Below are 16654 nucleotides of genomic sequence, written 5' to 3'. Positions count from 1 at the left end.
TAACTTTCAGGCCAAGTTGGTCATCAAATTAACAGAAGGTGGGGGTGTATGAAAACCCAGCCCAGACAGTCCCTACTTTTACAATGGTTCGATTTATGATTTTTCGACTTTACAGCGGGTTTATAGGGGCATAACCCCATCGTAATTTGAGGAGCCTCTGTAGTTACTTACACCAGACGGTCCCTAGAGGAGGGAGTGCAGGCTGCTGTTTTGGGGATGCAAGAAGCCCGTTCATACAGTTCAGATTATTTTATCAGCATCTGCTGCTTGCCAATTAGCACACATTAGATATGTGGGGAGAGTCGGGCCCAGGTGTGAACCCATGGCTGCCCCTTCCAGCTGTCTGACTCTGGGTCTTAGGAGCTCACGTTTATGGAGCACTTACCGGAGCCAGGCAGTGCCAGCTTTTTACCTGAATTTTCCATCAGCTCTAAGCTGAGAGGTTGCTAACTGTGGTCGTTTTAGGTGGGAAAACAGAGGCCTTGCAAAGTGACTTAGCTTGTCCAGAGTCCCATGAGTAGCCCAGCAGAATGACTGGGATTTGGGGCAGGGCTCCAGGGCCTGAGCTGCTAAGGCTGGTGCATTCTACTGCCTCCTGAATCACTTAGCTTCTCTGAGCTCCGCTTTGCTCATCTGTAAAATAAAGATAAAGGCACCAACTGGTACATGGGTACCAAAGATGAGGATGCCAGCCCTGGGCTAGGCACTGGGTTTAACTGTTGGAGGAACTGTCAGACTGTTTTCCACAGTGGCTCCACCATTTACATTCCCACCAGCAGTGCTGAGGATTCCAGTTTCTCCACATTCTTGTCAACACTTGTTGCTATCTGTCCTTTTTGATGTTAGAGGGTGTGCAGTGGTTTCACTTTGCATTTCCTGATGGCTAAGGATATGCATCTTTTCATGTACGTATTGTCCATTTGAATAGCTCCTTTGGAGAAATGTCTGTTTGGATCATCTGTTTCTACACACTGTATAACAATGCAAGTTAGACAGCAGGGGCTCAGGAATAAAGCCAGAGTTTACAGTGTGCCAAGCAAGATGCCAATGAATGACTCTGCTGCGTCCTCCTAAACTTATTCCTGATTTAGGTCCATGCTTCTTTATCTCCCTCCTCCACCACACACACCCTTTATTTAACAGTGCTGAGGCCACACCCCCTCTTGCCCACTGCTGGTTTCCTTGAACCCTAAACTTAGTGGCCCTGATGGATGCCATTGTCACCTCTTAGGGAAATCCGTGCTTCATCTCAATGGGCTTGTCAGCCCATTCCCACAGCACTTTAAAACAACACCTCACATTCCTATAGGACTGGGCTAGGAAGGATGCTCTTCTACCCACTTCCCAGGACATGGGGCCAGACCCTCCCACTCCTGCAGAATCCCTATTATTATTATTATTACTATTATTAATTATTAATTATTGCCTTTCTCCAGCACCCCTTGCTTGGCAAATGGAACCCCCAGATATTCTTCCATGAGGGGGTTTTGCTATCAAGCCTAGGGTGATCCTGGCCTCCCCAAGATCCGGCTCCAAGAAGATTGCAGGAGTCCATGTTTTCTTGTCCCACTGTAACCCCAGAGCCTGGCACGCTGGCTGGCATGTACTAGATGGGCAGTAAATCAGATGAACAGGTAGATTGAACTTCCTGTCCTTGAACACCTGTTCTGGGTCAGGCACTCATGTTGTTATCTTCCTTCATCTTTCTAAGAAATCCCTGGATGTGTGCCCATTATTCCCATTTTAGAGGTAAAGAAACTGAGACCCAGAGAGTAGGAGCCACTGGCCCAGCTGGGATTTAGAAGGGGGTTGACCCCACACACGGTGCTCCTCGGCTTGTCCCCAGCCCTCCCCATGTGTAACGAGCCCACTCACTTCTCTCCTCAGGTACTATGCGCCTGCAGGACCTACCTCAGCCCAACCAGCTGCCAAGTGGCCGCCCACAGCCTCTCCCCCACCAGCCCGGAGACACCGGCACTCCATCCAGCTCGACCTGGGCGACCTAGAGGAGCTCAACAAGGCCCTGAGCCGGGCCGTGCAGGCTGCCGAGAGCGTCCGCTCTACCACCAGGCAGATGAGAAGCTCGCTGTCAGCCGACCTGCGCCAGGCTCACAGCCTGCGGGGCTCCTGCCTCTTCTGACTTCACTGGGGGCCCAGAGGCAGATGGGTGGGTGGGTGGGCAGGTGGCCTGCCAGGCCAGGAGTGGGCTGGAGCTGCTGAGGCCCAGAAGGCCCGCATAGTTCCTCACCAGGAGGGTCTCCCTCCAGCACAGGTCCCGCCTGCTCAGTCCCTGTGCTTTCCAAGTGGAGGGGGTGTCAGCTCGGTCACCAAGAGAAGTGACTTCCCAGGAGCACCAGTCCCCTCACAGAGGTGCTGTGAGCGAGGCCTCCTTCGGTCCAGGCAGAACCTCAGGCAGTCTCTCCTGGTCCTGCATGTGTGCAACTCCAGCTAATAATAGGTATTTTATATACAGATGGACAGATATTTTTTTAAACTGGGGAGTTTTCCTGATCTTGGGTCCTCTTTAGGGGGCCAGACAAGAAAGGCCTACGGTTTCTGGAGCAAACCTGTCCCCCACCTGTGACCAGTCACTCTGGGGCAAGCATCACTGGGAAGGGCATAGCCGGAGACCTTTCTCCTAGTGACTGGTAGTCAGTGGGGCATTTTAGGATGTCAGGGCCCCAGGGTGACATGTGTCCAGCTTTTCTATGGCAGCAGAGGCCTTTCCCTCAGACAAGCTACAAAGTGCCCAGGATGCCATCCACCATGGTCCCCTTCAGTACCTCACGCATGGTCCCCAGCTTCTCCTAGGATCCCAGTGGCGTTTATCAGTGGCCAGCTACCTGCCAGGCCCGGGCTGGGGCACGGTCTGCGGCCATGAGGCCAGGCCGCCTCCCGCACCCCTACCCCGTGGCAGCAGCATACCTCTGCATTTCTGGAATGTGTGTGCATCAATGATGTTTGTATATTTGAGGCATTTAAAAATCTATTTTCGTTACGAGGGCAAATGAAGAATGAATATTGATCTTAAAAAAAGAAAAGAAGACAAAAAAAATACCCAAAGCCATCCGTGTCTCTGCTGTATGTCATTAACTTTTGCCTTCAATGTCAAGTTTATGGGGTGGTAGGTTTGATGCCCAGCCAAGCCCTTTCCCAGGGGACCTGTTGGGTGCTCTGCCTGCCTCCCTCTGGTGGCTTCTGTTTCTCCAGTTTTCCCCCTTTGCCTATCTCAGAACCATAAATCTTTCAACTGCGGAGGGCCTTGAGGTGGGGCTGCCTAGCCAAGTCCCTTTTGACTGAGGCCAGAGATGTAAATGAGGCACACAGCAAGTTGCTGTCTACAAGAGTATGCACCTGGACTCTCCAGTGCTCCTTTCTTTCTTTTTTTTTTCTTTTTTCTTTTTCTTTTTTTTTTTTTTTTTGAGACTGAGTTTTGCTCTGGTTGCCCAGGCTGGGGTACAGTGGTGGAATCTCGGCTCACTGCAACCTCCGCCTCCCGGGTTCAAGTGATTCTCTTGCCTCAGCCTCCCGAGTAGCTGGGATTACAGGCATGCACCACCACGTCTGGCTAATTTTGTATTTTTAGTAGAGACAGGGTTTCTCCATGTTGGTCGGGCTGATCTTGCACTCCCAGCCTCAGGTGATCCACCCACCTCAGCCTCCCAAATTGCTGGGATTACAGGCGTGAGCCATGGCGCCCAGCCTTCCAGTACTTTCAGTAGCAAACAGCACCTGCCATTTAGGGAGCACCTGCTAGACCCTGATTCCGGTGCTAAGCACTGGGCATTGTCTGCTTCACACAGTCCATGTGCTAACCCTCAGGACCCTCACTCTGCCCCCCTTTTACTGATGAGGAGAGTGGGGTTCCAATGGGCCATCTGCCCAAACTGGTTTGGGAGAGAACCTGGATTTAAACTCACATTGGTCTGACCCAAAGTCCACATTCTTTGTTATGTGTGTTTTTTGCTTCCTCTACCTCCATGATTCTTTTTCTCTTGACCTCTGGTTTCTTCCTCACGTGGCTTTTTCTTCCATGTTCCCCACTTCTCGTCTCCCTTGCTTCTCCCTGCTCTGCCCATCATGACTCATTTCTGTTTCATTTTTCAGCGGATCCTCCTGAGTATGGTTGAAAATGGTGTCTCACTGAAAGTAACACTGAAATGGACAAACTTCCTGTAGGTTCTGAGCCTTCAGTTCCAGGACATTGTGGGACCCCAGAGGCTGTCCTGTCCACTTGCCTTCTGAGGACATCAGCTCGGTGTCCCCAGCCTCCGTGCTGTGGGCACAGCTGTGGTTTGGGTGCTGAGCAAAGGATGCTGTAGTCTTGGCCCTGTGGAGCTTGGCTGTTGGGACAGGAGGTACAAAGGGGAGTGGTGCCTGTGGACACAGGACTAGACCCCAGGACATCAGGGCCTCGGGCTCATGGTCCTATCACCCTGGATGGTATACGCAGCTGCACACGTGGAATTGCTCAAACAATTCAGGCCCAACTTTTCTGCCACGGAAGGGGTGCTGCTTCCCTCACGTAACAAGAGGCTGTCAATCACGAGCACCCAGGTTGGGGTGAGGCCGGCCCTTTGTGGCTTGTGCCACTGAGTGGGCTGTGCCTCGGGCTTGGCTCCACCTCAGGGCTCCACATTTGCAGGATGTCAGCTGATTTCCAGGGACCAGCCTCACCCTTACGTGTTATCTCCTTCTTCTGGGTCTCCCAGGTGAGCACCCTAAGAACACATCCATGGAGACACCCAGCCCCTCTGGCCTGGGCCCCAAGCCCTCTGCATCACCCCAGCCCTTCCCTGCCCTGCCCTGTCCTGGCCCAGGCAACCGCCTCTTGCCTAGTTGCCCACAGCAGCCTTCACTCAGGCCTTCCTGCCTCCAGCCTGGTCCCCACAACGTGCCTCCCCCGATGGCCATGGTAATACTGGAATAAGGTCCTTGTGATAGGCACCACATGCCTGAACTCTCCCCACCCCATCCACCTTGTATTTGTCTGTTCTCACATTGCTATAAAGAACTACCTGAGACTGGGTAGTTTATGAAAAAAAGAGGTTTAATTGACTCACAGTTCCGCAGGCTTCAGAGGAAGCATGGCTGGGAGGCCTCAGGAAACTTACAATCATGGTGGAAGGCAAAGAGGAAGCAAGTCCCTTCTTCACAAGACAGCAGGAGAGACAGAGCGAAGGGGGAGGTGCTACACACTTTTAAACAATGAGACCTTGTGAGAAACAGCACCTGGGAGGTGGGGCTAAACCATTAGAAACCAGCCCCGTGATACAATCACCTCCCAGCAGGACCCGCCTCCAACACATGGGGCTGAAAATTCCATGTGAGATTCGGGTGGGGACACAGAGCCAAACAATATCACACCTCCACTCCTGTTTAGGGTCTTCTGCCTCAAGGTTACTCAAATGCATCCTCTCATTTCCTTGCTTGCAGCAGAAACAGAAAAGGATTTTTTTTTATGACTAGTTGAAGTTTTATTACAATCTTGCTATTAGGAGAAAGGCCTTACAGTAGTCTCAGTTTAGAAATTCACATTTGTTTGCTTGTATTGTTTTAAATGGACACATAATGTACATATTTATGGGGAACTGTGTGATAATGTTCCCAACACAAAGAAATGGTAAATGTTTGAGGTGGTGGAAATGACCCCGATTTGATCATCACACATTGTACACAGAACAGCAGGTTGTATTATGCTCCTCATCTTTCTAGATTGGTTCAGATGCCCCTTCTAGGAAGCCTTCCCAGATTTTCGCCCTGCAGAAGAAAATGTCTTCCCACAGTGCTGGGCTCCCACAGCACTCGGTGCCTGTCATCCTCCATCCTGGCACGTGTGGGGCTCTTCCCACCAGGGACAGCGTCTTATCCAGTGCCCAGCCAGGGTTAAACTCAGGGCAGGCTTCAGAATGAATGAATGAACAAATGACTAACAGCTTAGCTGTTCCAAACACAGAAGCTTTATTGATGCAAGTGAGGGAAAAAGCTGAGGTACACATGTCGGGTTGGAGGGGCAGGATGGCCCCCAAGTCTCTGTCCTGATCCAAGGCTGTGTCCTGCTAGGATTCCCCCTCCTCCTGTTTCCTCTCCTTCTCGTGCTGCTTCTCCAGTGGCTCACACTTATCCTAGAAGGCAGCGGGGAATTGGGGTGAGGGAGAAGCAGAGGCATGGGGACAGGGTGGGAGGTCTTCCGGGGAGAGGGCAGAATGAGCTCTGGCCTGTGGAACCAGCTCAACCAGGGCTCCAACCCTGGCACTGTCACTTCCCAGCTGGGTGATCTTGGGCAAGTCATTTTCTGTCTCTGAACCTCAGCTTACTTGCCTCTACAATGGGAGCTCAGACCCTTAAGAACCACTGGCATTTACTGAGCACATAGTACCTGCAGGGCCCTTATGCTGCAGCTCCTGAATTCCTCACAACCACCACTACTATGCAGATGATGTAACTGAGGAGCAGGGTGGCCTTGGGACCCATTCGAGGCTCCCTAGCCAGACAGTGGAGGTGCCAGGCTGTGGATCAAGTGAGCTGACTACAGTGGTTGCGTTCATAAGCCCTGTCCCAGGATCCTGGGGCTGGGGATGGGGCAGGAGGTAGTTCACATCCCTGGTGGTCATCTCAGGTGGCAAATGGAAGGAATTGTTTTTCTTTGAATAGTCATGGAAGTACTGCATGTATATATTTTAAAAATTGGAACCAGCTCATCGGTGCTGTGATTTCACAGGTATTAGGGCACAGGGCCACACCAACACAAGTCTTCCAAACACAGGTTTAAAGAAAAGTGTTAAGGAGCTCATTATACAGTAATTTTCATTTGTAGCAAAAATCGGGATGGTGACTGTGGCCGTGCTGCAGTGTGGGTGACATTGAAAACCACAGTATCAATTCCCCACTGCACGGGTATTAAAAATGAGCGGGGAGTGGAGGTGGGGTGAAAGCCTGGGGTTTGGGACGCGTCTGTAGGTGGTAACTCCCCGCATTACGTCCCCTCCAATTGCCAATCCCCCAACCCCGTGGCTCACGCTGTTCCCTCCTGTTAGCTTTCAGGTCCTCCCTGGTTTCACAGGGACTTCTCCCTCCTGGGCTCTCATCCACCACCCCTGGGCCTCTGTAGAGCTCAGCTGTCCCTACAGTGAGGCAGGTGCCTAAAAGCAGAAGATCTGCCTAGCTGTGCAGCCTTGCCTGGCAGCTTTCCTGCTCTGGGCCTCTGGGGCTGCCCAAGTTGGGCCATGGACAAGGTGGGCACTGTCCAATCCCTTGCGTTTACCTTTTTCCAGTCGGTGTACATGACATCTGACCTGGGAATGCACAAGCAGTCGAGAGCTTCGTAGAACTCTCCCAGTTGCTCCTTGGTCGTCTCTGGCTTGTCAGCTGCAGGGGGAGCAAGGAGACTGACTGGGGACATGGTGGGGCCCGGCGGGAGGCCAGGGAGGGCTGGGGTTCTAGGGGCCAGCCCAGGGGTGGGTGAATGGGGGGTGAGGCCTGAGAGGGGCATGAGTTTGGGGCTGCTAAGCATGCCTACCATAGAAAGACAGCCCCCAGTTCTTCTCATCGTCCAGGTAGGAACCAAACATCAAGGTCTTGGTGTCCCTAAGGAACAGCAGGTGAGCAACATGTTCTCGGCCTCCCTCTGGAAGAGAAAAAGAGCCTCTGGGTGAGAACATGGGATGGCACAATGGTGCCTGTCTTACAGGTGAGGAGTCCTAGGTGTGTCCGGGGCCACAAAGCCCATCAGTGAAGGCCCGGGTCTCCTTTGGGCCACCGTGTGCCCAGCCCCTGCTGCGTGCCCAGCTCCACGCCAAGCACTTTCTGTACATGAGATCTCAGGAGCCTCACACAGACTGTGGCTGTCAGGGCCTTTCTCCCCGTTTTACAGAGGAGGAAAATGAGGCCCAGAGAGGAGGCTCGGGATGCTAAATGATGTCAGTTCAGCTCCATCAGATCCCTGCCATGTGCCACCTCTGCGGTGATGGGGGACATAGTTGAAGGTACCACCTCTCCAACATACAGGCTTCTACCATTGGTTTGCAAAGGATCTTAAAGAGGGCGTGAGAGAGAGGCAGATCTGAAGCCAGCCTGGAGTTCCAATTCTAGTTCTAATTATAAGCTGTGTGACCTTGGGGAAACTATTTGAGGTCTCTGTTCTTATGTTTCCTCATCTAATTCTCTCAGTGTCTTCTTAGGGATTTTTTCTGAGCACGTGGTAAGAGCTCAAAAATGTTAGTGGTTATTTCTCTGTGCCCAAAGCCTCCAGGGCTCTACATCCAGCCCCCACCTTATGCTGGCCTGCCCTGTTCCCACGGTGAACCCTCCTGCCTGAGGGCTGGCCCTCACCGTATCTGGAGACGGTCCCATTCTCCCGCTGGACATTCAGGTAACTGGAGTTATAGAAGCACTGGTTCTGGCTAAAGTCAACCAGAAGGCGGAAGAAAAACAGTAATGTTATCGAGGAGAAGTGGCCAATCGCCCATCACAGTCCCGGGGCAAGAGTCTGGTGGAGATTAAAGCCAACCCTCCCGGTTCCACCCATGGGAAGGCCAAGGCCAGGAAGAAGGAGGGACTTGCTCAGGTCTTCTGGCCAGAAGCTGAGATGGGGGTGCATTGGAATGGGGGCTCTCACCGGGTCTGGTACTCTCTGAGAAAGATCGTGTCCTCTGTCTTGTTGGGGGTAAAGTAAAAGAAGGTTGCTTGGATCTCCTGAACCGACTTATTGTACTCCTCGTTTCGAAAGGCCGATGCGATATAAAACCACTTGCCAGTGATCTGGGGAGAAGGGGGGAGCTGGTGATGGGGGCTTGATGCTGAATCTTTGACTGTCAGCTGGGAGGAGACTCAGGCAGATCTCTCCCTGATTTTGCAGATGGGGAGATGAGGCCCCTGGTGGGCAGTGCGCATGCAGGAGCTCACCCTGAGGATCAGTCATTGCCCCCCAGGCAGCCCCTCCAGGCCCAGCACAGAACCGTCCTCCGTGAAGGACTCTGCAGTGAGGCTTCTGTGTTTGGAGGCAGGGGGTGCCTCCAGAGTCCCCTGGGCTGGTGAGAATTTCACCCTGGGGACCCAGAAGAGAAAAAGGCAGAGCTGGGAGTGGGGGTGCGACCACAGCCAGCAGGTAAAGGGAAGCCCAGAGAAGGGAGGCAGCTGCCCATGTGCTCAGGACAGGGCTAGCCCAGGCACTCACCCGGTCCAGGGTGGCGTTGGTGATGGGCACCGGTACTAGGTTGGCACACAATGGGATCTGGGCTTCCAGCAGAGGTAGGAGGCTCAGGACTGTAAGAACCCAGGACAGCGCCATACTGAGACCAGGAGGCACGTGGAGCCAGGCAGTGCTGGTGGCTGCAGGGTGCAGTCACCTTTATAATAAACTATGGGCGGTCACTTGGAGCCCAGCAAAAGTTTACTCTGTGTCTGTGACACAATCCTGCCAGCACTTGGGAAATGCCTCGCACAAAACCTCCCCCAAAGGCCAGCTCGGAGCACCGCCTCCAAACCCAGGTCTAATTTGAGTTCCTCACATGGAGAGGTTACAAAAGCCCTAGAGTATGGCTGCCCAAGGCCAAGGTGGGTGCGGGGCTGCAGCAACATTAGTAAACGTGTGAGTCCACAGATTTCCTAGAGAGGCCTCCCGCAGAGGAATCTCATGTCTTCATTCAATTCCTATCCCTCTGAGTGCCAAGACTTACTTCAGTAGGACCCAGCCACAAACCTAATGATGAAGCACCTTTGAGGGTCCCCAGGCTGGCATGGGATGTATGTTGTGGCGGGGAGAGTTGGGGTGAAGGATGCCGGGTGAAGGCAAACATGGATTCAGTTCCACTGAGTGTGGCAACAGCTATGTCAGAGCCAAAGTTCATTGGGGCCCCAACCCAGCCCTGGACGCAGGCACATTTCCAAAAAGGGACATCCAAGTTGAATGTCTATTTCCAGTAAATATACTACTCGAAGCATCTCCCAACATCTCAAACAGGAAACTGTCTCCCTGTTTTTCCCCATTCCCTGCCATCTGAGCAGGCAGCTTGCTTCTCTTTCACCAATATGCCCCCAATCCTGGAGCAGTGCCCAGCACTTCAAGGGCACTCGGTGTATACTGTGGAATGAGTGATTCCGTGGCCCATTTGCGTTCCTACCTTATGGGTCAAGTCTTTATTTGTATGAATAAATACTTTCAGAAAGTATTCTTTTTTTTTTTTTTCTCGGAGATGGAGTTTCGCCATTTTGCTCTTGTTGCCCAGGCTGGAGTGCAATGGCTCGATCTTGGCTCACCACAACCTCCCCTGCTGGTTTCAAGCAATTCTCTTGCCTCAGCCTCCCGAGTCGCTGGGATTACAGGTATGTGCTACCACGCCTGGCTAATTTTGTATTTTTAGGAGAGATGGGGTTTCTCCACGTTGGTCAGGCTGGTCTCGAACTCCCTACCTCAGGTGATCCGCCCACCTCGGCCTCCCACAGTGCTGGGATTACAAGCATGAGCCACCGCGCCTGGCCTTCCAGAGCGCCTTTCAACAGTGAACAGCAGCTGCTGTTTAGGGAGCACCAGCTGGACCCTGATTCTTACGCTAAACACTGGGCATTGTCTACTTCACACAGTCCCTGTACTAGCTCTCAGGACCCTCACTCTGCCCCCTTTTTACTGATGAGGAGAGTGAGGTTCCACTGGGCCATCTGCCCAAACTGGTTTGGGAGAGAGCCTGGGTTTGGACTCACATTAGTTTGACTCCAAAGTCCACATTCTTTGTTATGTGTGTTTTTTGCTTCCTCTACCTCCATGATTCTTTTTCTCTTGACCTCTGGTTTCTTCCTCACGTGGCTTTTCCTTCCATGTTCCCCACTTCTCGTCTCCCTTGCTTCTCCCTGCCCTGCCCATCACGACTCATTTCTGTTTCATTTTTCAGCGGATCCTCCTCAGTATGGTTGAAAATGGTGTCTTACTGAAAGTAACATTGAAATGGGGAAACTTCTTTTAGGTTCTGAGCCTTCAGTTCCAGGCCACTGTGGGACCCCAGAGGCTGTCCTGTCCACTTGCCTTCTGAGGACATCAGCTCGGTGTCCCCAGCCTCCGTGCTGTGGGCACAGCAGTGGTTTGGGTGCTGAGCAAAGGATGCTGTAGTCTTGGCCCTGTGGAGCTTGGCTGTTGGGACAGGAGGTACAAAGGGGAGTGGTGCCTGAGGACACAGGACTGGACCCTGGGGTGTCAGAGCCTCAGGCTCATGGTCTTATCACCCTGTATGGTGTACGCAGCTGCACATACGGAATAGATGGAACAACTCAGGCCCAACTTTTCTGCCACGGGAGGAGTGCTGCTTCCCTCACGTAACAAGAGGCTGTCAATCATGAGCCCCCAGGTCTGGGTGAGGCCGGCCCTTCGTGGCTTGTGCCACTGAGTGGGCTGTGCCTCGGGCTTGGCTCCACCTCAGGGCTCCACATTTGCAAGATGTCAACTGATTTCCAGGGACCAGCCTCACCCTTACGTGTTGTCTCCTTCTTCTGGGTCTCCCAGGTGAGCACCCTGAGGACACGTCCATGGAGACACCCAGCCCCTCTGGCCTGGGCCCCAAGCCCTCTGCATCACCCCAGCCCTTCCCTGCCCTGCCCTGTCCTGGCCCAGGCAACCGCCTCTTGCCTAGTTGCCCACAGCAGCCTTCACTCAGGCCTTCCTGCCTCCAGCCTGGTCCCCACAACGTGCCTCCCCCGATGGCCATGGTAATACTGGAATAAGGTCCTTGTGATAGGCACCACATGCCTGAACTCTCCCCACCCCATCCACCTTGTATTTGTCTGTTCTCACATTGCTATAAAGAACTACCTGAGACTGGGTAGTTTATGAAAAAAAGAGGTTTAATTGACTCACAGTTCCGCAGGCTTCAGAGGAAGCATGGCTGGGAGGCCTCAGGAAACTTACAATCATGGTGGAAGGCAAAGAGGAAGCAAGTCCCTTCTTCACAAGACAGCAGGAGAGACAGAGCGAAGGGGGAGGTGCTACACACTTTTAAACAATGAGACCTTGTGAGAAACAGCACCTGGGAGGTGGGGCTAAACCATTAGAAACCAGCCCCGTGATACAATCACCTCCCAGCAGGACCCGCCTCCAACACATGGGGCTGAAAATTCCATGTGAGATTCGGGTGGGGACAGAGCCAAACAATATCACACCTCCACTCCTGTTTAGGGTCTTCTGCCTCAAGGTTACTCAAATGCATCCTCTCATTTCCTTGCTTGCAGCAGAAACAGAAAAGGATTTTTTTTTATGACTAGTTGAAGTTTTATTACAATCTTGCTATTAGGAGAAAGGCCTTACAGTAGTCTCAGTTTAGAAATTCACATTTGTTTGCTTGTATTGTTTTAAATGGACACATAATGTACATATTTATGGGGAACTGTGTGATAATGTTCCCAACACAAAGAAATGGTAAATGTTTGAGGTGGTGGAAATGACCCCGATTTGATCATCACACATTGTACACAGAACAGCAGGTTGTATTATGCTCCTCATCTTTCTAGATTGGTTCAGATGCCCCTTCTAGGAAGCCTTCCCAGATTTTCGCCCTGCAGAAGAAAATGTCTTCCCACAGTGCTGGGCTCCCACAGCACTCGGTGCCTGTCATCCTCCATCCTGGCACGTGTGGGGCTCTTCCCACCAGGGACAGCGTCTTATCCAGTGCCCAGCCAGGGTTGAACTCAGGGCAGGCTTCAGAATGAATGAATGAACAAATGACTAACAGCTTAGCTGTTCCAAACACAGAAGCTTTATTGATGCAAGTGAGGGAAAAAGCTGAGGTACACATGTCGGGTTGGAGGGGCAGGATGGCCCCCAAGTCTCTGTCCTGATCCAAGGCTGTGTCCTGCTAGGATTCCCCCTCCTCCTGTTTCCTCTCCTTCTCGTGCTGCTTCTCCAGTGGCTCACACTTATCCTAGAAGGCAGCGGGGAATTGGGGTGAGGGAGAAGCAGAGGCATGGGGACAGGGTGGGAGGTCTTCCAGGGAGAGGGCAGAATGAGCTCTGGCCTGTGGAACCAGCTCAACCAGGGCTCCAACCCTGGCACTGTCACTTCCCAGCTGGGTGATCTTGGGCAAGTCATTTTCTGTCTCTGAACCTCAGCTTACTTGCCTCTACAATGGGAGCTCAGACTCTTAAGAATCACTGGCATTTACTGTGCACTTAGGACCTGCCGAGCCCTTATGCTGCAGCTCCTGAATTCCTCACAACCACCACTACTATGCAGATGATGTAACTGAGGAGCAGGGTGGCCTTGGGACCCATTCGAGGCTCCCTAGCCAGACAGTGGGGGTGCCAGGCTGTGGATCAGGTGAGCTGACTACAGTGGTTGTGTTCATAAGCCCTGTCCCAGGATCCTGGGACTGCAGATGGGGGCAGGAGGTAGTTCACACCACTGGTGGTCATCTCAGATGGCAAATGGAAGGAATTGTTTTTCTTTGAATAGTCATGGAAGTACTGCATGTATATATTTTAAAAATTGGAACCAGCTCATCGGTGCTGTGATTTCACAGGTATTGGGCACAGGGCCACACCAACGCAAGTCTTCCAAACACAGGTTTAAAGAAAAGTGTTAAGGAGCTCATTATAAAGTAATTTTCATTTGTAGCAAAAATCGGGATGGTGACTGTGGCCGTGCTGCAGTGTGGGTGACATTGAAAACCACAGTATCAATTCCCCACTGCACGGGTATTAAAAATGAGTGGGGAGTGGAGGTGGGGTGAAAGCCTGGGGTTTGGGACGCGTCTGTAGGTGGTAACTCCCCGCATTACGTCCCCTCCAATTGCCAATCCCCCAACCCCGTGGCTCACGCTGTTCCCTCCTGTTAGCTTTCAGGTCCTCCCTGGTTTCACAGGGACTTCTCCCTCCTGGGCTCTCATCCACCACCCCTGGGCCTCTGTAGAGCTCAGCTGTCCCTACAGTGAGGCAGGTGCCTAAAAGCAGAAGATCTGCCTAGCTGTGCAGCCTTGCCTGGCAGCTCTCCTGCTCTGGGCCTCTGGGGCTGCCCAAGTTGGGCCATGGACAAGGTGGGCACTGTCCAATCCCTTGCGTTTACCTTTTTCCAATCGGTGTACACGACATCTGACTTGGGAATGCGCAAGCAGTCGAGAGCTTCGTAGAACTCTCCCAGTTGCTCCTTGGTCGTCTCTGGCTTGTCAGCTGCAGGGGGAGCAAGGAGACTGACTGGGGACATGGTGGGGCCCGGCGGGAGGCCAGGGAGGGCTGGGGTTCTAGGGGCCAGCCCAGGGGTGGGTGAATGGGGGGTGAGGCCTGAGAGGGGCATGAGTTTGGGGCTGCTAAGCATGCCTACCATAGACAGACAGCCCCCAGTTCTTCTCATCGTTCACGTCAAAAGCAAGCATGTAGGTCTTGGTGTCCCTGAGGATCAGCAAGTGAGCGAAATGCTCTTGGCCTCCCACTGGAAGAGAAAAGGAGCCTCTGGGTGAGAACATGGGATGGCACAATGGTGTCTGTCTTACAGGTGAGGAGGCCTAGGTGTGTCAGTGGCCACACAGCCCATCAGTGAAGGCCCAGGGCTCCTTTGGGCCACCGTGTGCCCAGCCCCTGCTGCATGCCCAGCTCCACGCCAAGCACTTTCTGTACATGAGATCTCAGGAGCCTCACACAGACCGTGGCTGTCAGGGCCTTTCTCCGTTTTACAGATGAGGAAAATGAGGCCCAGAGAGGAGGCTCGGGATGCTAAATGGTGTCAGTTCAGCTCCATCAGCTCCCTGCCATGTGCCACCTCTGCGGTGATGGGGGACATAGTTGAAGGTACCACCTCTCCAACATACAGGCTTCTACCATTGGTTTGCAAAGGATCTTAAAGAGGGCATGAGAGAGAGGCAGATCTGAAGCCAGCCTGGAGTTCCAATTCTAGTTCTAATTATAAGCTGTGTGACCTTGGGGAAACTATTTGAGGTCTCTGTTCTTCTTTTTCCTCCTCTAATTCTCTCAGTGTCCTCTTAGAGTTGTTTCTGAGCACATCGTTAGAGCTCAAAAATGTTAGTGGTTATTTCTCTGTGCCCAAAGCCTCCAGGGCTCTACATCCAGCCCCCACCTTATGCTGGCCTGCCCTGTTCCCACAGTGAACCCTCCTGCCTGAGGGCTGGCCCTCACCGTATCTGGAGATGGTCCCATTTTCCCGCTGGACATTCAGGTAGGTGGTGTTATAGATGCACTGGTCCTGTCTAAAGCCAAACAGAAGGCGGAAGGAAAACAGGAAGATTATTGAGAAGTGGCCAATCGCCCATCACAGTCCTGGGGCAAGAGTCTGGTGGAGATTAAAGCCAGCCCTCCCGGTTCCACCCATGGGAAGGCCAAGGCCAGGAAGAAGGAGGGACTTGCTCAGGTCTTCTGGCCAGAAGCTGAGATGGGGGTGCATTGGAATGGGGGCTCTCACCGGGTCTGGTACTCTCTGAGAAAGATCGTGTCCTCTGTCTTGTTGGGGGTGAAGTAAAAGAAGGTTGCTTGGATCTCCTGAACCGACTTATTGTACTCCTCGTTTCGAAAGGCCGATGCGATATAAAACCACTTGCCAGTGATCTGGGGAGAAGGTGGGAGCTGGTGATGGGGGCTTGATGCTGAATCTTTGACTGTCAGCTGGGAGGAGACTCAGGCAGATCTCTCCCTGATTTTGCAGATGGGGAGATGAGGCCCCTGGTGGGCAGTGCGCATGCAGGAGCTCACCCTGAGGATCAGTCATTGCCCCCCAGGCAGCCCCTCCAGGCCCAGCACAGAACCGTCCTCCGTGAAGGACTCTGCAGTGAGGCTTCTGTGTTTGGAGGCAGGGGGTGCCTCCAGAGTCCCCTGGGCTGGTGAGAATTTCACCCTGGGGACCCAGAAGAGAAAAAGGCAGAGCCGGGAGTGGGGGTCCGACCACAGCCAGCAGGGAAAGGGAAGCCCAGAGAAGGGAGGCAGCTGCCCATGTGCTCAGGACAGGGCTAGCCCAGGCACTCACCCGGTCCAGGGTGGCGTTGGTGATGGGCACCGGTACTAGGTTGGCACACAATGGGATCTGGGCTTCCAGCAGAGGTAGGAGGCTCAGGACTGTAAGAACCCAGGACAGCGCCATACTGAGACCAGGAGGCACGTGGAGCCAGGCAGTGCTGGTGGCTGCAGGGTGCAGTCACCTTTATAATAAACTATGGGCGGTCACTTGGAGCCCAGCAAAAGTTTACTCTGTGTCTGTGACACAATCCTGCCAGCACTTGGGAAATGCCTCGCACAAAACCTCCCCCAAAGGCCAGCTCGGAGCACCGCCTCCAAACCCAGGTCTAATTTGAGTTCCTCACATGGAGAGGTTACAAAAGCCCTAGAGTATGGCTGCCCAAGGCCAAGGTGGGTGCGGGGCTGCAGCAACATTAGTAAACGTGTGAGTCCACAGATTTCCTAGAGAGGCCTCCCGCAGAGGAATCTCATGTCTTCATTCAATTCCTATCCCTCTGAGTGCCAAGACTTACTTCAGTGGGACCCAGCCACAAACCTAATGATGAAGCCACCTTTGAGGGTCCCCAGGCTGGCATGGGATGTATGTTGTGGCGGGGAGAGTTGGGGTGAAGGATGCCGGGGAAGACAAACATAGATTCAGTTCCACTGAGTGTGGCAACAGCTGTGTCAGAGCCAAAGTTCATTGGGGCCCCAACCCAGCCCTGGACGCAGGCACATT

At 53.0% G+C, this 16654-nt stretch overlaps 3 protein-coding genes across 18 annotated transcripts in view, besides 1 other annotated feature; 1 reads left to right on the top strand and 2 right to left on the bottom strand.

Moving 5' to 3' along the window:
* The window catches only part of AKNA (AT-hook transcription factor), a 67969-nt gene extending 59279 nt beyond the window's left edge, over window positions 1-8690 (top strand). For 13 of the 16 annotated variants that reach the window (XM_006717294.2, XM_011519065.3, XM_005252245.2 and 10 more), the window contains one exon: window positions 1888-5038. In XM_006717294.2, coding sequence (XP_006717357.1) covers window positions 1888-2140 — 253 coding nt within the window. In that variant the 3' untranslated portion in view covers window positions 2141-5038. Of the gene's footprint in view, window positions 1-1887 lie in introns of all 16 variants that reach the window. The other 3 variants (NM_001317952.1, NM_030767.5, XR_929844.4) reach the window with 2 other exon arrangements.
* Window positions 4652-5152: an enhancer, noted in NCBI's record as "H3K4me1 hESC enhancer chr9:117096322-117096822 (GRCh37/hg19 assembly coordinates)". NCBI's record gives its function as "activates a minimal SCP1, AML or CMV promoter by ChIP-STARR-seq in naive H9 embryonic stem cells {active_cell/tissue: H9 hESC(naive)}" and the evidence as "EXISTENCE:reporter gene assay evidence [ECO:0000049][PMID:30033119]".
* Window positions 5943-9325, bottom strand: ORM2 (orosomucoid 2). The gene is made up of 6 exons (NM_000608.4): window positions 9176-9325; window positions 8618-8760; window positions 8332-8402; window positions 7520-7627; window positions 7265-7368; window positions 5943-6125 (listed from the first exon to the last, which is right to left on the bottom strand). Exons 1-6 carry the CDS (start codon window positions 9287-9289, stop codon window positions 6060-6062), a joined length of 606 nt encoding a protein of 201 aa, NP_000599.1. The 5' UTR covers window positions 9290-9325; the 3' UTR covers window positions 5943-6059.
* On the bottom strand, window positions 12715-16096 carry ORM1 (orosomucoid 1). Its single transcript, NM_000607.4, has 6 exons — window positions 15947-16096; window positions 15389-15531; window positions 15106-15176; window positions 14297-14404; window positions 14042-14145; window positions 12715-12902 (listed from the first exon to the last, which is right to left on the bottom strand). The coding sequence occupies exons 1-6, from the start codon at window positions 16058-16060 to the stop codon at window positions 12837-12839; spliced, it is 606 nt and encodes a 201-aa protein (NP_000598.2). The 5' UTR covers window positions 16061-16096; the 3' UTR covers window positions 12715-12836.

This window comes from Homo sapiens, chromosome 9, assembly GCF_000001405.40.
Source record: "Homo sapiens chromosome 9, GRCh38.p14 Primary Assembly".
NCBI lineage: Eukaryota > Metazoa > Chordata > Mammalia > Primates > Hominidae > Homo > Homo sapiens.
The sequence above is the reverse complement of the archived record's forward strand: the minus strand, read 5'-3'. Positions and strand labels throughout refer to the sequence as shown.